Source organism: Homo sapiens, chromosome 6 (genome assembly GCF_000001405.40).
Source record: "Homo sapiens chromosome 6, GRCh38.p14 Primary Assembly".
NCBI classification, from domain to species: domain Eukaryota; kingdom Metazoa; phylum Chordata; class Mammalia; order Primates; family Hominidae; genus Homo; species Homo sapiens.
In genome coordinates this window covers 34,740,735-34,754,568 of record NC_000006.12, presented here as the reverse complement: position 1 = coordinate 34,754,568, position 13,834 = coordinate 34,740,735, and the positions used below count along the sequence as shown (strand labels likewise).

At 45.2% G+C, this 13,834-nt stretch overlaps 1 pseudogene, besides 1 other annotated feature; it reads right to left on the bottom strand.

Annotated features, from left to right (window-relative positions):
- On the bottom strand, positions 9,851-10,429 carry RPS10P13 (ribosomal protein S10 pseudogene 13; annotated as a pseudogene).
- Positions 11,805-11,978: a silencer, noted in NCBI's record as "fragment chr6:34710368-34710541 (GRCh37/hg19 assembly coordinates)". NCBI's record gives its function as "represses an EF-1alpha promoter that drives an FKBP-Casp9 reporter gene in an ReSE screen in K562 erythroleukemia cells {active_cell/tissue: K562}" and the evidence as "EXISTENCE:reporter gene assay evidence [ECO:0000049][PMID:32094911]".

The following is a 13,834-nucleotide window of genomic DNA, read 5'->3' as shown; positions in this document are numbered from 1 at the left end:
ATGATCTGCCAGCCTCAACTTCCCAAAGTGATGGGATTACAGGCATGAGCCACCATGCTCGGCCCATCAGTAATGTTTTGATTTCTTCCTGATTTCCCTCTGTGCTGACCCTGGCCTTTTTTTTTTGCTTTCAAGTCTATTCTTCACTTTTCCCCTGCTCTTTTCAAAATGGCAGTGGAAGCCGGGTTCAGTAGCTCACACTGGTAATCCCAGCTACTCAGGAGGCTGAGGTAGAAGGATCACTTGAGCCCAGAAGTTGGAGGCTACAGTGAGCTATGGTCTGGCCACGGCACTCCAGCCTGGGCAGTGGAGCGAGACTCCATCACTATTAAAAAAAAAAAAAGGTCAGGCATGGTGGCACGCACACCTGTAATCCCAACACTTTGGGAGGCCGAGGCGGACAGATCGCGAGGTCAAGAGATTAAGACCATCCTGGCCAACATGGTGAAAACCCGTTTGTACTAAAAATACAAAAATTAGCTGGGCATGGTGGTGTGCACCTGTAGTCCCAGCTACTCAGGAGGCTGAGGCAGGAGAATGGCTTGAACCCAGGAGGTGGAGGTTCCAGTGAGCTGAGATCATGCCACTGCACTCTAGCCTGGCAACAGAGCGAGACTCCGACTCAAATAAAAAAAAAAAAAAGTCAGTGGTGGACTGACTCCATGAAGGCTGCATGGGCTGGACTCCAATACTGGTTGACTTCCAAGCTGAATTGCTGGGCTCCATCAATTGGAGGCATTTTCTGGAGATTGGAGAGATCAAGGAAAAAGCCAGAGTATCTCCTACCCTGACACCACCTCCAAGCCAGAGTATCCATCCTCTCCCCACCCCTCAACATCAGGCTGTCTCCTACAACCTACTTGGATCTAACTTGTAGTAGTTGATCCTAGACCCTGAGCTCTGGTAGCACAGTGTTGTCCTGTCCCTCTAGTGTAAGGGTGGCAGTAGCTTCTTGCTGTCACTCATCTCTGTCTGGGCTATTTGACTATTCTGTTTGGCTTTTTGTCTCTGCCAACACCTGTATAAACCATTTATCTGGATTAAGTTCCCTGTGTTTTTTTTTTTTTTTTTTTTTGAGACGGAGTCTCGCACTCTCGCCCAGGCTGGAGTGCAGCGGCACAATCTCGGCTCACTGCAAGCTCCGCTTCCCGGGTTCACGCCATTCTCCTGCCTCAGCCTCCCGAGTAGCTGGGACTACAGGCGCCCGCCACCATGCCCGGCTAATTTTTTGTATTTTTTAGCAGAGACGGGGTTTCACCATGTTAGCCAGGATGGTCTCGATCTCCTGACCTCGTGATCCGCCCACCTCGGCCTCCCAAAGTGCTGGGATTACAGGCGTGAGCCACCGCGCCCAGCCTGTTCCCTGTGTTTTAAAGACTTAGAATGGTTTTCCAGGTTGGACCTTGACATATATGTATATATACATATGTATATATGCTCAGAGTGACCTTATCTCCAAGTCCCAAGGGGTATCTCCATCATTTCCTGCCCATAGGCCCTGCTATCTTGTAAAGCAGTGCTTTTCACACTTTTTCTCTGAATGTCCAAGGCAACTGAGAGAGTTCATTTGTCACCCTCATTCCTCTAGGTCTATAGCCAAAATCCCTAGTGCCCACCTGAGCTTGAAATGCCCTTGAAATCTTGTGCTCTTGCGTGGTGTCCTAAAAACTCACAGTTAGTAATCTACTTCATAACACATCTATGTTGTTCTTAAGGTATTTTACATTTAAAATGTATTTTATTTACTTATATTTGAATAGGTAGTGTATACACATGGTAGAAAATTAGAAAACCACAAAAATGTTTCCTAGCCACACCCTTGTTCCCAGTTTCTTTTCTTTTTCTTTACTTCTTCTTTTTTTTTTTTTTTTTTTTTTTTTTTTTTTTTTTGAGAGAGAGCCTTGCTCTGTCGCCCAGTCTTGAGTACAGTGGCGCGATCTCAGCTCACTGCAATCTCCGCCTTCCAGGTTCACGCCATTCTCCTGCCTCAGCCTCCCGAGTAGCTGGGACTACAGGCGCCCACTACCATGGCCAGCTAATTTTTGTATTTTTAGTAGAGATGGGGTTTCACTGTGTTAGCCAGGGTGGTCTCAATCTCCTGACCTCGTGATTCACCCAACTCAACCTCCCAAAGTGCTGGGATTACAGGCATGAGCCACCACGCCCGGCCTCTTTTTTTTTTTTTTTTTTTATAGAGACAGAGTCTCACTCTGTAGCCCAGGCTGGAGTGCAATGGTGTGCTCTTGGATCACTGCAACCTCCACCTCCCGGGTTCAAGTGATTCTCCTGCCTCAGCCTCCCCAGTAGCTGGGACTACAGGTGTGCACTGCCACGCCCAGCTAATTTTTCTATTTTTAGTAGACACAGGGTTTCACCATGTTGGCCAGGCTGATCTTGAACTCCTGGCCTCAAGTGATCCACCTGCCTTGGCCTCCTAAAGTGCTGGGATTACAGGCGTAAGCCACCGCACCCAGCCCCTTGTTCCCAGTTTCTTACATATCTTTCCAGAAAAAGATTATCCATATGCAAACAAAAATATGTTTCCTGGTTCTGTTTTACAGATGCATAGTATTTCGTTGTGTAGATGTACCTCCATATATTAATCAGTCCTTTATTGATGAATGCTTAAATTGTTTCCTGTCTCTTTCTAATTTAGTGATGCTGCAGTACATCATTAATTCACAGACATGCAAATATGTTTATAAGATAAAGTTTGGGCTGGGCACTGTGGCTCAGACCTATAATCCCAGCACTTTGGGAGGCCGAGGCGGGTGGATCACCTGAAGTCAGGAGTTCAAGACCAGCCTGACCAAGATGGTGAAACCCTGTCTCTACTAAAAGTAGAAAAATTAGCCAGGTGTGGTGGCACGCACCTGTAATCCCAGCTACTCGGGAGACTGGGGCAGGAGAATCACTTGGACCCAGGAGGTGGAGGTTGCAGTGAGGGGAGACGGCACCATTGCACTCCAGCCTAGGTGACAGAGTGAGAATCTGTCTCAAAAAAATAAATAAAATAAATAAAAAAGATTGGCTGGGTGCGGTGGCTCACACTTGTAATCCCAGCACTTTGGGAGGCCAAGGTGGGTGGATCACCTGAGGTCAGAAGTTCGCAACCAGCCTGGCCAACATGATGAAACCATGAAAACATGGTGAAACATTCTCTACTAAAAATAGAAAAATTAGCCAGGCGTGGTGGCACACACCTGTAATCCCAGCTACTTGGGAAGCTGAGGCAGGAGAATCACTTGAACCCGGGAGGCAGAGGTTGCAGTGAGCCAAGACCGTGCCATTGCACTCCAGCATGGGCAACGAGCAAAACTCCATCTCAAAAAAAGAAAGGAAAAAAAAAAGATAAAATTCTAGGAGTGAAATTGCTAGGTTGAAGAGCTTTCTTTGCATTTGTAATTTTGAAAAATAATGCTAAATCGCCCTTCATTGTGGTTATATTTGAGAGTGCTTTTTTACCGTATCTGATAAATAAAAAATGGCATTGTGTTATCATTTCTTTTTTGAGACAGAGTCTCACTCTGTCACCGAGGCTGGAGTGCAGTGGCCGAGTCTTGGCACACTGCAAACTCTGCCTCCTGGGTTCAAGTGATTCTCATGCCTCAGCCTCCCAAGTAGCTGAGATTACAGGTGCACGCCACCACACCTGGCTAATTTTTGTATTTTTGGTGGAGTTGGGATTTCAGCATGTTTGCCAGGCTGGTCTTGAACTCTTGGCCTCAAGTGATCTGCCCACTTCGGCCTCCCAAAGTGCACAGGCGTGAGCCACTGTGCCTGGCTGTATTATAATTTTAATTTGTGTTTCTCCATATGAATAAAGGTGAATATATTTCATATGTTAAAAAGTCCAATGAGCCTGGGCAACATGGTGAGACCCTGTCTCTACAAAAAATACAAATATTAGCCAGGCATGGTGTCACACACCTGTAGTTTCAGCTACTCAGAAGGCTAAGGTGGGAGGATCACTTAAGCCCAGGAGACTAAGGCTGTACTCAGTCGTGATTGTGCCACTGCACTACAGCCCAGGCGACAGAATGAGACCCTGTCCCAAAAAAAAAAAAAAAATATTTCACAGATCCTTCTTTGTAGATTGCCTTTTTTTTTTTTCTGACAGAGTCTCACTCTGTCACCCAGGTTGGTTTGAGACAGAGTCTCACTCTGTCCCACCCAGGCTGGTTTGCGACAGAGTCTCACTCTGTCACCCAGGTTGGAGTGCAGTGGTGTGATCTTGGCTCACTACAAACTCCATCTCCTGGGCTCAAGTGATTCTCATGCCTCAGCCTCCCAGGTAGCTGGGATTACAGGCGCCCGCCACCACACCTGGCTAATTTTTGTATTTTTTGTAGAGACGAGCTTTCACCACGTTGGCTAGGCTGGTGTCCTAATTCCTGACCTCAAATGATCCACCTGCCTTGGCCTCCTAAAGTACTGGGATTGCCTGACTGCCTTTTTATATTCTTTGCCCCTTTATCTGTTATATTGTTAGTCTCATCCTTTTTTTCTTTTTCGTTTTTCTTTTTCTTTCTTTTTTTTTTTTTTTTTGAGATGGAGTCTCGATCTATCGCCCAGGCTGGAGTGCAGTAGTGGGATCTCAGCTCACTGCAGGCTCTGCCTCCCGGGTTCACACCACTCTCCTGCCTCAGCCTCCCGAGTAGCTGGGACTACAGGCACCCACCACCATGCTCAGCTAATTTTTTTGTATTTTTTAGGAGAGACAGGGTTTCACCATCTTAGCCAGTATGATCTCGATCTCCCGACCTCGTAATCTGCCTGCCTTGGCCTCCCAAAGTGCTGGGATTACAGGCATGAGCCACCATGCCTGGCCCTAGTCTCATCCTTTTCTTATTGATTTGTAGAGAGCTCTTCATATATTAAGGAAATTAACTCCATGCCTCTTATATGATTTGCAGATATTTTTCCACTTGTTATTTGTCTTTGGCATTATTTTGGGTAGTTTTTATCCTGAAAAAAAGGTTTTAATTTGTATGTTGGTCAAACTTATTTATCTTTTCTTTTTTGACTTCTGGGTTTTATGTCACATGTAGATAGGCCTTCACCTTTCTAAGATTATTTGTTTAAATTCTCTCACACATTGGCTGGGCATGGTGGCTCACGCCTGTAATCCCAGCACTTTGGGAGGCAGAGGTAGGTAGATTGCCTGAGGTCAGGAGTTTGAGACCAGCCTGGCCAACATGGCAAAACCCCGTCTCTACTAAAAATACAAAAATTAGCTGGGCATGGTGGCACATGCCTGCAGTCCCAGCTACTCAGGAGGCTGAGGCATGAGAATCGCTTGAACCTGGGAGGCAGAGGCTGCAGTGAGTCGAGATCATGCCACTGCACTCCAGCTTGGGTGAAAGAGCAAGACTCCATCTCAAAAAAAATAAAAAAATAAATTCTCCCACATATTTTTCTTTTCTTTTTTTCTTTCTTTCTTTCTTCTTTTTTTTTTTCTTTTGAGAAGGACCTCTAACTGCATCTCACTGAAAGAGAAAAAAAGAAAGACAGTCTCACTCTGTCACTCAGGCTGGAGTGTGGTGGTGCAGTCATAGCTCACTGCAGCCTTGGCCTTTTGGGCTCAAGCAGTCCTCCCACCTGAGCCTCCCAAGCAGCTGGTACTATAGGCACATACCACCATGCCTGGCTAATAATTAAAAAAAATTTTTTTAGAGACAAAGTCTTGCTATGTTACCCAGGCTGGTCTTGAACTCCTGGACTCAAGTGATCCTCCCGCGTTGGCCTCCCAAAGTGCTGGGATTATAGGTGTGAGCCACTATGCCTAGCTCATTTTTTCTGATTCTTTTATTATTTTATTTTTTTCATGTTTATATCCTTTATCCATCTGGAACTTATTTTAAAGTAAGGTGTGGAAGAGGGATCTATGCTAATTTTTCTTTTCACAAACATCAACCTAGTTATCCTAGCACCAGTTTTTGAAAATCTATCATTTTTCCTACCAATTTGAAATCCTATTTTATTATAGGCTAAACTCCTCTACATTCTATTTAACCTCTGGGCTTTCTGGTCTGTTTCATTGGTCTATTGATTTGCCTCTACCAAGTGTTTTAATTATTACAACTCATATCTGCTATTTTAATATAACAGTCTATGTAAATTAACCAGTTGAGTTACTTAGCTTTATCCCTTCCTAAAAAATTCTTCCAGTAGGCCGGGTGTGGTGGCTTATGCCTGGAAGAAATTTTCTAGTTGCATATGACAAAACCCTACTTAAACCTGCTTAGGTAAATAGGATATAGAGGCTCAGCAAGCTGGGACATTGAAGGGTAGATTTATCCTCAGGTGTGATTGACTTAGGGCCTGAAATAATGTCACTCGGTCTCTCTCCTTTTCTCATCTCTGCTTGTTTGCTTCTCTTTGCACACTGGCCTCATTGTCCCACGTTGCAGCCTGGTTTCCTCCACACAGATGGGACAGCCTCATTTATCTCCAAACTTCCATTCTTCTAGCACATAATGCCAGAAGCCAGGGAAGGACCTAAATGGGCACACTTATACATCAAGAATCCTCCTTGGTTGGGGATGAGTAGAAAACTGTGATTGCCAGTCCCACTTAAACCTTAGGGAGAGAAGGAGGAATACCCAAAACTTGGGGGAGTACTGTTGTCAAAGAAGAAGTATAAAAACGCATCCTGGGCCCAAAATGGTATGTACAGCTGCAACCACTGGTCTTGCCTAACCCAGTCTGCAAAGCCTAACTCAAAGGAGGTACCAGTTTAAGGTGGTAATTTCCATTGTCACCACCAGAAGACTTGAGTCCTTAGTTCCATAGTAAACTACACCTTCCTCAACTCTCCTATATCTTTCCACAATGCTGAAACACAAAAAGTAATAGTTATTCAACAAATGTTTACTGAGCATTCTCTTTGTGTTCAGGTCTCTGTTGGCCACCATTAATAGGAAAATGAGTAACACACTGTGCCCATCTTCAAGTTTAGTGTGGGACATAAGCATTTAAACAAAGAATTGCAGCCTTTTTTGGTAAGGACTATGATAAGACAACTTTATCAAAAGGCAGTAGCACAGTGGTCATGAGCACAGCCTCTAGATCCAGTCTGCCTGTGTTTGAATCCCAGTATCACCACAAGCTGCTGCTTTGATCTTGGGGAAGTTGCTTAACCTCTTTGTGTCTCAGCTTTCTCATCTGTAAAATGGAGATGATAATAGTACCTCCTTCAGAGGGTCATGGCTGTGAGGGCTGATTAAGATCATTCTCTTAAAGCACTTGGCAGGGTGTGGTGGCTCATGCCTGTAATCCCAGCACTTTGGGAGGCCAAGACAGGCGGATCACGAGGTCAAGAGATTGAGACCATCCTGACTAACACGGTGAAACCCCATCTCTACTAAAAATACAAAAAGTTAGCCGGGCGTGGTGGCGGGTGCCTGTAGTCCCAGCTACTCAAGAGGCTGAGGCAGGAGAATGGAGTGAACCTGGGAGGCGGAGCTTGCAGTAAGCCGAGATCGCGCCACTGCACTCCAGCCTGGGTGACAGAGCGAGACTCCGTCTCAAAAAACAAACAAACAAACAAAAAACGAATAATAAAGCACTTAGCACTGCATGGTAAGCATGCAGTAATTGGTGGATAGTGTTGGGACTGTCAGTAAGAATAAGTACCCAAAACCTAGGTCTCTTGAATTCCAAATCCAGGAATCCCTCCAAACCTCTTCAGGGTCACACAGGGGATGAGCTGTGGAACTGGAGAGGCATTTTTCTTCTCCCAATAAGATACTTCAGCTTCACTTTGTTGTTTTGTTTGTTTTTACACCTTGTTTCTACTCCATCATATCAGCTTCGCTTTGTAGCCATCGTTGGCTGTTGACTCCTCCATCTGTTAAGCACTCTTCAGAATCTACAATTCTTAGTTCCATTGCCAAACCTCAGGGCCCTGAAGTGCAGGGGAGAGGCTGAATTCCAAAGACAGACTTGCTTCTGTACTCTGAGTGATACTTCCAGAGCTGTTGATCTGTTGATGGATGCCTCACTGAGAAAGATCATACCATTGTGGCCTTCCCTGCTAACTTTTCATTTTGAACTGAGAGCTTGTGGCCATGAAGTGGACTCAGAAGGCTAAAACTGGATCTTTCTATTTGGAAACAACAGCTGGATGTAGGGATGTAAAAGCTCACGCCAGGCCTCCCAGGTAGGTGTAAACATAGCTGTGGCTGGGATGACTGTGGCTGGCAATCTTCATCCCACTCTACCCTGCAAGTGAAATCGCTTGGGAGGTGACCTAGCTGCTGCTTTCCAAGGCCATGGGTATCTGGAGACAAAGCTTTCTCCACCTAGCCTGGGCAAATGAGAACAACACTAAGACTACGATGAGGATGCCCATCTGGCACCTACAAGGTGGTGGCAGACACCACCCATCTTTGCCTGGCTATGTGGGAAGGAAATAATTATTCGTTAGTTCTGCTGTTACTGTCCTGGCTCCCTCACAGTAAACAAAGGGCTCACTACTGAGAATAGAAAAGGCCAAAGTCCCAGGGCCTGGGGAACATGTTCTTTGTTGAACCTCTTTATTAATCTAAAGCTGTTGGACCAACAGGTTGTGGTGTTAGGCGGAAGCTGGGCAGGCACTAATCACTAAGGCAGAAGAACGGGTTTGGCAGGGTAGTTTTGAGTAGCAGCTTATTGAAGAGGTGTTATTACTCACTTTTTTATTTTTTATTTTTTTGAGACAAGTTCTCAATCTGTCACCCAGGCTGGAATGCAGTGGTACGATCTCAGCTCACTGCAACCTCTGCCTCCCGGGCTCAAGTGATCCTCCCACCCCAGCCTCCCGAGTAGCTGGGACTACAGATGCATGCCACCATATCTTTTGCATTTTTTTGAAGAGACTGGGTTTCACGGTATTGCCCAGGCTAGTCTTGAACTTCTGGGCCCAATCTATCTGCCCACCTCAGCCTCTCAAAGTGTTGGGATGACAGGCATGAGCCACCCCGCCGGCCCTATGACTCACTCTTGAAATGTCTTTTCTTAGATAGATATGATCTTTGGTCAGGGAGTATTCTATTAGCGCAGGAAGCTTTCAGTCTGATTCTAGGGGTGGCAAGCTGGAAACAGGATCATGAGTGGCCTCTATATGGCTTCATACTCCAGCAGAACCTGAGGTTGTGGTTGGGAATGAGACACATACAAACACACAAACACACCCACACACATACGCCATTCTGCTGCCCTATGGCATGTTATCTTTTAGTGGCTTGGCTTTTACTGGGAGAGAAGGGAAACTAACATTTATTAAGCACCTAGTTTGTGTCAGCACTAGGCAATGTGCTTTCATTATGTTATCTGATGGGATTTGATTTTGAAGCTTTTTTTACTGATAAGGAAACTGAGACTGAAGGAGATGATATAATCTGAACAAGATTGCATAGTTAATATGTGGGAAAAAGAGAATTTGAGCCCAAATAGAGTCCAGCGCTTACCCACTTTCCATTGAATACACTGCCTGTACACCTGAGACCGCCACAGTCCAGACCCGAGTGCAACCTGCCCCAAGTAACTCCTTTGCTGCAATGGCTGAAGCTCATTTTTTTCACATAGAGACTTCAAATCACCAACATGTAGCCCCCAGCTGGAACGCCTTCCACATAAAAGGGATAGCTCCCCTAAAAGGTATATATTTTATGTCTTTTTTTTTAACTTTTTTTTTTTAAGATGGGATTTTTATGTTGCCCAGGCTGATCTTGAACTCCTAGCCTCAAGTGATCCTCCTGCCTCAGCCTCCCAAAGTGCTAGGATTATAGGAGTGAGCCACCACACCTGGCAGGTGTATCTTATTGTATGTAAATTATACCCTCATTAAACCTGACTTTTTTTTTTCTTTTTGGTTGTAAGTTTATTCAACGCAAAAGAATCCTCTCCAATTTTACTGAGGTAGCTGACTATGTCCACAACCAAATCCGCCTCTAAACTGGAATTCAGTTGCTGACCCAGCCCCAGACTCGGCTTTCTTGTCGGCACCAGGTGGCACAGCACTCTGTCTGTAGGTATCTCTGTCAGCTTCCCATCTTGTGAGTCTCGCAGGTTGCTCACCCTCCAGACCTTTAGGCCGAGGCCTGCCAGTCTCTGGATGCCTACGGCGTAGGGTGGCAGGCACAATCTCCGGGGGCAGATGAAGGTAATCATGGAGATACTGGATACCCTCATTGGTAAGGTACCAGTAGAAATGTCTCCAGGCAAACTGTTCCTTCACGTAGCCTCGGGACTAGAGAGACTGCATGGCTTTCATGACATGAAGGTTGGGCACATTCTTGTCTGCCAGCTCCGGGTGCTTAGGCATGTGGACATCCTTCTTGGCCACCATGACTCCCTTCTTAAAAAGGAGTTCATAAATGGCAATCCGGTTCTTCTTAGGCATCAACATCTCTGCGGCTGCAGGGGCCGGGGCCGGGGCTGGAAAAGCTAAACCTGACTTTTTATTTTTATTCATGTACTGATTTAGAGGCAGGGTCTCATTCTCTTGCCCAGGCTGGGGTGTAGTGGCATGATCATGGTTCACTGTAACCTTGAACTCCTGGGCTCAAGCAATCGTCCTGCCTCAGCCTCCCTAAGAGCAGCAGCTGGAACTACAGTCACACCACCACATTTGTTTTTGTTTTTTGTTTTTAGGATTTTTTTCTCTTTTTTTGAGACATGATCTCACTCTGTTGCCCAAGCTGGAGTGCAGTGGCGGGATCACAGCTCACTGCAGCCTCAACTGCCTGGGCTCAAGGAATTCCCCTACCCTCAGCCTCCTGGGTACCTGGGACCACAGACATGTGTCACCATGCCCAGCTAGTTTTTTTTATTATTTGTAGCCAAGAGGTCTCACTGTGTTGTCCAGGCTTGTCTTGAACTCCTGAGCTCAAGCAGTCCTCCTGCCTTGGCTTCCCAAAGTGCTGGGATTACAGGAGTGAGCCACCACTCCTGGCTGGACATCCAGCTAATTTTTGAATTTTGGGGATTATAGGCATGAGCCACCATCCCAGCCTATTTATTTAAGTGTAGTCAAAGCAGTGAGGAAGAAGGAAAGAGTAGAACAGCCAGGTGCAGTGGGTCACACCTGTAATTCCAGCACTCTGGGAAACTGACATAGGAGGATCACTTGAGCCCGGGAGTTACCAGCCTGGGCAACATAGGGAGATCTCTTCTCTACCAAAAAAAAAAAAAAAAAAAAAAAGAGTAAACAAGGAGTTTGATCTGTAACTTAGTGGGAGCAATCGATTAAGGTAACTCACTACCTTGGGACTAGCCTTTTTTTTTTTTTTTTTTGAGATGGTGTTTCGCTCTTGTTGCCCAGGCTGGAATGCAATGGCATGATCTCAGCTCACTGCAACCTCTGCCTCCTGGGTTCAAGCGATTCTTCTGCTTCAGCCTCCCAAATAGCTGGGATTACAGGTGTGCGCCACCATGCCTGGCTAATTTTGTATTTTTAGTAGAGACTGGGTTTCTTCATGTTGGTCAGCTTGTCTCCAACTCCCGACCTCAGGTGATTGGCCCACCTTGGCCTCCCAAAGTTCTGGGATTACAGGCGTGAGCCACCGCACCCAGCCGGGACTAGCCTGACTTTTTTTTTTTTTTTTTTTGGAGACAGAGTATTGCTCTGTCACCCAGGCTGGAGTGCAGTGGCACGATCTCAGCTCACTGCAAACTCCGCCTCCCGGGTTCACGCCATTCTCCTGCCTCAGCCTCTTGAGTAGCTGGGACTACAGGCGCCTGCCACCACGCCCGGCTAATTTTTTATATTTCTAGTAGAGACAGGGTTTCACTGTGTTAGCCAGGATGGTCTCCATCTCCTGACCTCATGATCCGCCCGCCTCGGCCTCCCAAATTGCTGGGATTACAGGCATGAGCCACCATGCCCGGCCTAGCCTGACTTTTTAAAAGATGTTGGATATATTATATAAAGAGCTCCTACAAAATAACAGTAAAATTACCATCAACTCAATAGAAAAATACAAATGAAAAGGAAATGTATATATAAATGTCCTTTATACATCTGAAAAAATAGTCATCCTCACTACAAGATGAATTTAAATTAAAAATTACTGAGATACCATTTATCACTTACTGGATTAGTAAAAATCCAAAAAATTGATATCACTTTGAATAGCCATGATTATAGGTAAATAGGAACCGTCATACATGTGTAAATTGAAATAGTTCCTGTTGAAGACAGTTCGACAGTGTCTACGAAAATTCCCTGTGTATATACCTGGTAACTCACCAATTCCATTTCTAGGAATTTATCCTACAGTTATAGTTACAGGATTGCAAAATGATGTGTATACAAGATTACTCATTGAAGCACTCTTTGGAAAAGAGAGCAAAAGTCTGTAAACTTAAATCCCCATCAACAAGGGCCTGGTTAAATACATTATGGGACATGCATATAGCAGAATAGTACGCACCTATAGGAAACAATGAGAAGTATCTGTGTATACTGACATGAAGAACTCTCAAAGATATATTAATTGAAGAAAGCAAGGTGCAGATCAGTGTTTATAGTAGATACCATTTATATTAATAAGAGAGATACTATTTATATTATTTTATAAATGCATTACAAATCTCAAAGGATCACAGAGCTTTGGGAAGCCAAGGTGGGAGCATCACTTGAACCCAGGAGTTTGAGACCAGCTTGGGCAACATAGGGAGACCTTCATCTCTACAAAAAAGTTTTGGGTTTTTTTTTTTTTTTTGAGACAGTCTCACTCTGTTGCCCAGGCTAGAGTTCAGTGGCATGATCACAGCTCATTGCAACCTCTGTCTCCTGGATTCAAGTGATTCTCCCACCTCAGCCTCCCAAATAGCTGGGATTACAAGCACGTGCCACTATGTCCAGCTAATTTTTTTTTTTTTTAGTAGAGATTGGGTTTTGCCATGTTGGCCAGGCTGGTCTGGAACTCCTGGCCTCAAGTGACCTATCTCCTCAACCTCCTAAAGTGCTAGGCTTATAGGTATAAGCCACTGCACCCAGCCCAAAAAAGTTCTTTGTTTTTTGTTTCTAATTAGCTGGGCATGGTGGCACTTACATGTAGTCCCAGCTACTTGGGAGGCAGAGGTGGGAGAATCGCTGGAGCCCAGGAGTTCAAGATTACAGTGAGCTATGATTGGACCACTGTACTCCATCCTGACCCTGATCCAGTGAGACCCTGTCTCAAAAAGAAAAAAAAAAAAAACTCTCCAAGGAGCTAAGAAACTAGAAATAGTGGTTATCTGTTGTGAAGGGTAGAGGTGGGAGGGATATATTTCACTCTATACTTTTTCAAAAGTTTGATGTTTAAACTATGAATTTTAAAAATTAAGTTAATCATTGTTAAACAATAAAGAAAGGAAATAAAAAGAAAATAACATGGTGGGAGGGGCCCACCACATGTCATGGCTGCCATTGTGGGACCATTTCCCAGAACCACACCCTACAGACCCGGCGTGATAGCTCACGCCTGTAATCCCAGCACTTTGGGAGGCCGAGGCAGGGGGATAACTTGAGGTTAGGAGTTCAAGACCAGCCTGGCTAACATGGTGAAACCCCGTCCCTAATAAAAATACAAAAATTAGCCGGGCATGGTGGTGCACGCCTGTAGTCCCAGCTACTTGGTAGGCTGAGGCAGGCGAACCACTTGAACCCAGGAGGCAGAGGTTGCAGTGAGCTGAGATGACGCCACTGCACTTTAACCTGGGTGACAGAGCCAGATTCCGTCTCAAAAAAAAAAAAAAAAAAAAAAGCCACACCCTACAAACTGCCTTCTTCATCAGACAGGCTCATCATTGGAAGAAGTGACATGCAGTCTCCCAGACTGGCAACCTTGTACTCACTCCCAGA